General features: G+C 41.5%; 1 protein-coding gene across 4 annotated transcripts in view; it reads left to right on the forward strand.

The window, feature by feature from the left end:
• Window positions 1–4,964, forward strand: part of RUNX2 (RUNX family transcription factor 2) — a 222,753-nt gene extending 217,789 nt beyond the window's left edge. For all 4 annotated transcript variants that reach the window (NM_001024630.4, NM_001015051.4, NM_001369405.1 and 1 more), the window contains one exon: window positions 709–4,964. In NM_001024630.4, the coding sequence (NP_001019801.3) occupies window positions 709–1,187 (479 nt within the window). In that variant the 3' untranslated portion in view covers window positions 1,188–4,964. The remainder of the gene's footprint in view (window positions 1–708) is intronic.

Genomic DNA, 8,545 nt, shown 5'->3' on the forward strand with positions numbered 1-8,545 from the left:
AAATCAATGATTCCTAAGGTACCAAGCCCCCTTGTGCCTCCTAACTCCCATTTTCAAAACCGACTGATCTAGTAGCTTATGACCCTCCCTATCCACCCCCAGAGAAGTTATGAGTTTCTGGTTTGATTTCACTGTTGCTAAGATGAGACCTCTGACAAGATTTTAAATTCTTTAAAGGCCTTAAAGGAAATGATAGGAACATGATAGGATATCTTTTTGATGTTCCTTCATTGATGAAAGAGCCTACCAAGAGTAAATAACAGTAAGACATTATTTTGGAATTTCTTTATATTGAGTTGAGGAAAATAAACTTGTCTGACTTAGTAAAAATTTCACTTCAAATATCTAAAGTGCAACGAGAAGCAAAAAGAGAAAAAAAATCCATGAGGATTTGGTTTTAAAGTCTGGTGAGTGAACCTATGTGATCAGAGTGTTGGGTTGGTTTACACATTGACCTGGCACACATGTGGGTTTTTAAAGCCCTCTGGGATTCTCTGGGGGTGAAGAACTTAAGGATCAATGCTGTTAAGACTGCAAAGTGGGGGAAAAAGACTGTAAAGTGACTGGTGCATTTGAAGGTCTGTCTGTGGCTTGCTGTTCCTTTATGGGAAAGCTAAAGTTTTCTCTTTTTTTTTCTTGTAACAATTCTATCATTATTTTAATTGATATTTACAGATTTTTCCCTCCATCTTCTGTTATAATTTTTAGGTGCTTCAGAACTGGGCCCTTTTTCAGACCCCAGGCAGTTCCCAAGCATTTCATCCCTCACTGAGAGCCGCTTCTCCAACCCACGAATGCACTATCCAGCCACCTTTACTTACACCCCGCCAGTCACCTCAGGCATGTCCCTCGGTATGTCCGCCACCACTCACTACCACACCTACCTGCCACCACCCTACCCCGGCTCTTCCCAAAGCCAGAGTGGACCCTTCCAGACCAGCAGCACTCCATATCTCTACTATGGCACTTCGTCAGGATCCTATCAGTTTCCCATGGTGCCGGGGGGAGACCGGTCTCCTTCCAGAATGCTTCCGCCATGCACCACCACCTCGAATGGCAGCACGCTATTAAATCCAAATTTGCCTAACCAGAATGATGGTGTTGACGCTGATGGAAGCCACAGCAGTTCCCCAACTGTTTTGAATTCTAGTGGCAGAATGGATGAATCTGTTTGGCGACCATATTGAAATTCCTCAGCAGTGGCCCAGTGGTATCTGGGGGCCACATCCCACACGTATCAATATATACATATATAGAGAGAGTGCATATATATGTATATCGATTAGCTATCTACAAAGTGCCTATTTTTTAGAAGATTTTTCATTCACTCACTCAGTCATGATCTTGCAGCCATAAGAGGGTAGATATTGAGAAGCAGAAGGCTCAAGAGAGACAATTGCAATCGAGCTTCAGATTGTTTACTATTTAAGATGTACTTTTACAAAGGAACAAAGAAGGGAAAAGGTATTTTTGTTTTTGTTGTTTGGTCTGTTATCATCAATAACCTGTTCATATGCCAATTCAGAGAGGTGGACTCCAGGTTCAGGAGGGAGAAGAGCAAAGCCGCTTCCTCTCTGTGCTTTGAAACTTCACACCCTCACGGTGGCAGCTGTGTATGGACCAGTGCCCTCCGCAGACAGCTCACAAAACCAGTTGAGGTGCACTAAAGGGACATGAGGTAGAATGGATGCTTCCATCACAGTACCATCATTCAGAATAACTCTTCCAATTTCTGCTTTCAGACATGCTGCAGGTCCTCATCTGAACTGTTGGGTTCGTTTTTTTTTTTTTTTTTCCTGCTCCAAGAAAGTGACTTCAAAAATAACTGATCAGGATAGATTATTTTATTTTACTTTTTAACACTCCTTCTCCCCTTTTCCCACTGAACCAAAAAGAAATCCCATCCCTAAAACCTGCCTTCTCCTTTTATGCAAAACTGAAAATGGCAATACATTATTATAGCCATAATGGTATAGATAGTGATTGCGTTTGGCTATGTGTTGTTTTCTTTTTTTTTAAATTATGAATATGTGTAAAATCTGAGGTAACTTGCTAACGTGAATGGTCATATAACTTTAAAGATATATTTATAATTATTTAATGACATTTGGACCCTTGAAACATTTCTTAGTGTATTGATATGTTGACTTCGGTCTCTAAAAGTGCTCTTTATTAAATAACAAATTTCTTCAGTGGTCTAGAGCCATATCTGAAATATTGCTAAGCAATTTCAGTTCATCCAGGCACAATGTGATTTTAAAAAATACTTCCATCTCCAAATATTTTAGATATAGATTGTTTTTGTGATGTATGAAGGAAATGTTATGTTTAGTTCTTTCAGATCTTTGAATGCCTCTAACACAGCTTTGCCTTCTAAAGCGGTAATTAGGGATTTAAAAAACAACCTTTAGCCCTTTATCAGCATGAAATGCTGGAGTGATGTGGTTTTCTAATTTCTTTGGGGTAATTATGACTCTTGTCATATTAAAAAGACAAGCACAAGTAAATCATTGAACTACAGAAAAATGTTCTGTGGTTTCATAGTTAAGCAAAACTCTAAATCGCCAGGCTTCATAGCAAAGACATAGTCAGCTAAAAGCCGCACATGTGGATAGAGGGTTCAATTATGAGACACCTAGTACAGGAGAGCAAAATTGCACCAGAGATTCTTAACCAACCAGCCTTACCAAACAACACAACAGGGGAACCCCAATCTGCCTTACCCAAGGCCCCACTGGCAGCTTTCCACAGAATTTGCATTTAGAGGAGCAGAATGACATCACTGTCCTTTGGGAGTAGGTCCTCTGAAAAGGCAGCAGGTTCCAGCAGGTAGCTGAGCTGAGAGGACATATGGCCCACGGGGACCTACAGACAGCCTTTGACATTTGTATTTCTTACAATGGAGGGCCAAGGAGGGCAAGGGGCTGTGGAGTTTGGTGTCTACTAGTGTGTATGAATTTGAGCTAGAGTCCTTCTGTGGCATGCACTTTGACCACTCCTGGCAGTCACATGGCAGATTTCCAAGTGCAAATCCTTAATCCAAACAAGGATCATCTAATGACACCACCAGGCCAATCCCTGCTCTCCTCCCCGAAAAGTCAGGGTCCCTTCATTGGAATCCTCCACCCACCCAAGCAGAATTTAGCAGAGATTTGCCTTCAAACCCTAACGGCCCCCTTGTTCTCTGGTCCTTCTCAAACCCACCTTTGTAGGCCACCCAGCATTGCAGGACAGCGTGTGGGGCAGCTGGACCTGTGCTTCCTGCCTGGGAGTCTCCCTTGGAATTCATCCTGACTCCTTCTAATAAAAATGGATGGGAAAGCAAAACACTTTGCCTTCTAAAGGCCGTATACCAAGTATGCTTAGATAAATAAGCCACTTTTCTATTACTTAAGTAAGAAGGAAGTAGTAATTGATACTATTTATTGTTTGTGTGTGGTAGCTTGAAGCACACCACTGTCCATTTATTTGTAAGTGTAAAATATGTGTGTTTGTTTCAGCAGCACTTAAAAAAGCCAGTGTCTGGTTACACATTTCAATTTTAATTAATTGACATAAAAATGCTACCGCCAGTGCCAGCTGCATCCTATTTAATTAAAAAGGTACTATATTTGTACATTATTTTTTAATGTTAAAAGGGCTTTTTTAAGTTTACAGTACACATACCGAGTGACTTTAGGGATGCTTTTGTGTTGAAATGTTACTATAGTGGCTGCAGGCAGCAACCCAGAAACACTTTAGAAGCTTTTTTTCCTTGGGAAAAATTCAAGCACTTCTTCCCTCCACCCTCACTCCAACCACCCCAATGGGGGTAATTCACATTTCTTAGAACAAATTCTGCCCTTTTTTGGTCTAGGGATTAAAATTTTGTTTTTCTTTCTTTCTTTTTTTTTTTTTTTCACTGAACCCTTAATTTGCACTGGGTCATGTGTTTGATTTGTGATTTCAAGACCAAAGCAAAGTCTTACTACTACTGTGGAACCATGTACTAGTTCCTGGGAATTAAAATAGCGTGGTTCTCTTTGTAGCACAAACATTGCTGGAATTTGCAGTCTTTTCAATGCAGCCACATTTTTATCCATTTCAGTTGTCTCACAAATTTTAACCCATATCAGAGTTCCAGAACAGGTACCACAGCTTTGGTTTTAGATTAGTGGAATAACATTCAGCCCAGAACTGAGAAACTCAACAGATTAACTATCGTTTGCTCTTTAGACGGTCTCACTGCCTCTCACTTGCCAGAGCCCTTTCAAAATGAGCAGAGAAGTCCACACCATTAGGGACCATCTGTGATAAATTCAGAAGGGAGGAGATGTGTGTACAGCTTTAAGGATTCCCTCAATTCCGAGGAAAGGGACTGGCCCAGAATCCAGGTTAATACATGGAAACACGAAGCATTAGCAAAAGTAATAATTATACCTATGGTATTTGAAAGAACAATAATAAAAGACACTTCTTCCAAACCTTGAATTTGTTGTTTTTAGAAAACGAATGCATTTAAAAATATTTTCTATGTGAGAATTTTTTAGATGTGTGTTTACTTCATGTTTACAAATAACTGTTTGCTTTTTAATGCAGTACTTTGAAATATATCAGCCAAAACCATAACTTACAATAATTTCTTAGGTATTCTGAATAAAATTCCATTTCTTTTGGATATGCTTTACCATTCTTAGGTTTCTGTGGAACAAAAATATTTGTAGCATTTTGTGTAAATACAAGCTTTCATTTTTATTTTTTCCAATTGCTATTGCCCAAGAATTGCTTTCCATGCACATATTGTAAAAATTCCGCTTTGTGCCACAGGTCATGATTGTGGATGAGTTTACTCTTAACTTCAAAGGGACTATTTGTATTGTATGTTGCAACTGTAAATTGAATTATTTGGCATTTTTCTCATGATTGTAATATTAATTTGAAGTTTGAATTTAATTTTCAATAAAATGGCTTTTTTGGTTTTGTTATGTGTGTACCTTGGGTCTTTTCTTGTTCACGGTTTCTCCCTAGTCTGATGTCTACTCCTGCTTACACCTGGGCACTGTTTGGTCTTAGGACTTGCCAGGGCTAGTTAAGAGAAGAGATGCTATATTACTGGGGAGAAGAAAAAAAATCTTGGTAAACGGTGTCTTCTTGTTTTGTCCTGTTCCTAGCGAGGGGTGGGCAAAGAATCTAGCAGTGAACTCACTTCCTTACTAGCTTGTGTCTGAAGGAAGGAGTGCTCACCTCATCCTTGAGTAAGGCCATTTATTCCAACTGGGGGACCTATCAGGCGTATAGATGCAGTCTCGATGGCTTCATGATTCTAATCTCTGAGAACATGAACAGGGCCCCGCAAGTGAACCTCTGGCTATCAACAGAAGATCTCAGGCAGCCCAGATATAGGCTAGTCTGTTTTCCTTTCCACATCTCTTTTGGGTTCTTAAAAATAAAGTCAACCAAAGCCCAAGGATGAGTAAAAACGGACCTTGGCCTGGAGGGCTATAGCCTCAGAAGAATTCTCCTAGTGAACATAACTATAGTTTGGAGATTTTTTTTTCCCGTGGCCATTGTTTATTTTTGGTAAGTCCCCCCCCTTGTGATAAGGTTGAAGACCTGGGGTAGAAAGGTTGCTTTCTCTGTGTCCTATGCTTTCTGAATGCTTGGGCTCACCACAATTCTAAAATAGGGACCCAGGAAAACATGGTGCAGAGAAGGTCAGCCAGTGGCCAAGCTGACCCACATCACAGGGAGAGTTAGAGACCTTGAAGATCTGCTCATTCTTAACCCTTTGGCACTATTTTCTAAGAAATCTTGGAAATAGTTAAATTCCAAGAATAGGAAATGTCCTGAAAGCACTTGGGTGAGCTTAAGCCAGGGAACTTGTCTGCAACTCTGAGGATGTAGATTTATTTATTTAAAAAAAAATCAAACATCTGTGTGACTTTAAAGGGCATTCACAAGGGAGGTGGTCACAGTGGCTTGCTTTCTGTCTCCAGTTTTCTCTATCAGGATGGTCTAGGGCAAATCCCTTTATTCCTCTGTGTCTCAGTTTCTTGGTTTATGAAAAGGCATTGGGCTAGATCTTGGCACTATTGACATTTCAGACTGGGTAATTCTTTTTGTGTGTGTGTGTCAGGGATGCTCTCCTGTGTATTGTAGGATGTTTAGCAGCATTCCTAGCCTCTACCCACTAAAAGTTAGTAGCACCTCCCTAGTTAGGACAATCAAAAATGTCTCCAGATGTTGCCAAATGGTCCCTGGGTGGCAAGATCACCACCGATTGAGAACCACTTAGCTAGAGGCTTTATTGACAGAACTGATATGAGAATACATTGCTTATTAAATCAGAGTAGCCAGGCAGAGGCTGAGGGACTTCCCAGTGATGGCTACACCTCAACCTTTTCCATCCCTTCACTTGATTTGGATGTATCATGAGGGCTGCTGTTGGCTTTTTCGTCTGCACCTCTTCACTCCTCTCTGCAACATGGGCTGTGCAGCCAGTGAACAGCCCAGCTGTGGGGCTTTGTTAAGCCTGGATTGGTTGGCCATATTTATCATGGCCTGTTTCTCACTGAAACGGCAGGCGGAAGAAGAAAGCAATTTCTGCAGTGTTTTTGACCCCTGGTGTCCCCTATCCCCCAAATATTTAATCATCAGGCATTTCTGCAAGAGTGGGTGTTTCCTGTTAACTCAATCCCAGCCGGGACTGGCCCAATAAACACCTCAGGTCTCTGTCATAGAGTTTATTTGGCTGGGAAATGGGTATTGCCATGTAAACAGGAAGGCCCCTGAAGTTATTATCTACAGACGCAGTGGAAGAGCCGCATGTTTATATTTATGGGACTTGAAAACAGTATGAAAGGCAAGGGAGGATGTCAGGGAAGCCCTCATTGGCAGTCAGTGAGAGCAGGTCCTACAGCTCTTTATTAGTTAATTTTTCATTCTCTCTGGAAATGGTTGGTAAACAATAATGACCTAGCCAAGAGCCACTGCAGAAATGGAGGTACTGGCTTGCCTGTACCTAGATTACCAGGTTAACAATAAGAAATGCTATCAGTTGGCCTCTCTGTCCTAACTATTCGAAAATTATTTTAGAGATCAGTCCTAGGAAGCAACAATTTGGAGGTATCTAAAAAGGATGCTTATGAAACAGTGTCACCATCTCTAAGTTCTTCTGGGGAAGTGGAGGACAACTCAACTGACTGCTCCAGTTGTAGTGAGTGTGGGCCAGCTCACCTGTGAAAATCCCAAGCAAATTCTCATGCATTCACTCCTTAGTCAGTTTCTGTGAGGCTGGAAAGGACATCTTCATGCAAGAGTTCATAACACCTGAGCTGTCCAGGTATTGGTACTGGGAATCAGGCTTACACCCTAGGCCTATGCACCCCAGGTATACTCCAAATTGCTCCCAACCCTTCTCGGCTCTTCCATTGTCTCTCTCCTCTGGCCCGGAAAAGGTGCTAAGAAAGGCCAGGTAGGAACCAGTATGTGGAGAGCTGATACTCTTGATTTAAACTCTGGGTTCTGAGCAAAGGCAAGGGAGTCTTTCCTTCCTCACCACCATTGCTGTGGACCCTGAGAAGCCTCTTTGTGTCTTCTTAGGGGCTTCTCAGCGGTAACTACTCAATCAGGAGGCCTTGGAAAGGAAATTTTAAAAAGTTATGAATCAAAACTTACCAAGGAAAAGGATCCAGTGAAGACGCAAAGGGTAATACACCAGGGATGTGTGTGTGTGGGCGTGTGTGTGGTGTATGTGTGTGTGTGTGTGGGGTGTATGTATGTGTGTGTATATGTGTCTGTGGTGCATGTGTGTATGTGTATTTATGTGTGTGGTGCATGTGTGTATGTGTGTGGTGTGTATGTGCACGTATATGTATATGTGTGTGTATATGTGTATACGGGTGTGTGGTGTGTGTCTATGTGTGTATGTGTGCATGTGTGGTGTGTGTATGTGTGTATATGTGTGTGGTGTGTGTGTGGTGTGTATGTGTGTGGTGTGTGTGTGCATGTGTATGTGTGTGTGTGGTGTGTGTATGTGTGTGTGGTGTGTATGTGTGGTGTGTGTGTGCATGTGTATGTGTGTGTATATGTGTGTGGTGTGTGTGCATGTGTATGTATGTGCATGTGTGTGTATATGTGTGGTGCATGTGTATGTGTCTGTGTGTGGTGTGGTGTATGTGTGTATGTGTGTATATGTGTATGCACACACAGGTATGTGTGTGCCTGAAGGGAGGGAAGGAGGAGGGTGAAGTTTGGAAAGGGTACCTGAACAGCCACCCACTCAGAGAAAGATGGGGCTCACCACCCCTGCACATGTACTCAGGAGACACAGTGTTTCTTGGCCTCAGTTTTTTATTTCTGCAAATTCTTCAAAAAAAAAAAAAAGTACTGCCTTTATCCCACAAGTGATAAAGAAACAATTACTTGTCTTCAAATAGGTTACTGGGACAAGGGACACTGGATGCTCCTTGATATGTCAATTAAGGGAGCAGGGAGAAGCTAACATTTAAGGAGTTTTTAGTAATTTTTGTAAAGCTATTATTCAAAAGTTTGTGACTCAATCCAG

The sequence above is a fragment of the Homo sapiens genome, chromosome 6, assembly GCF_000001405.40.
Source record: "Homo sapiens chromosome 6, GRCh38.p14 Primary Assembly".
In the NCBI taxonomy this organism is placed as follows: domain Eukaryota; kingdom Metazoa; phylum Chordata; class Mammalia; order Primates; family Hominidae; genus Homo; species Homo sapiens.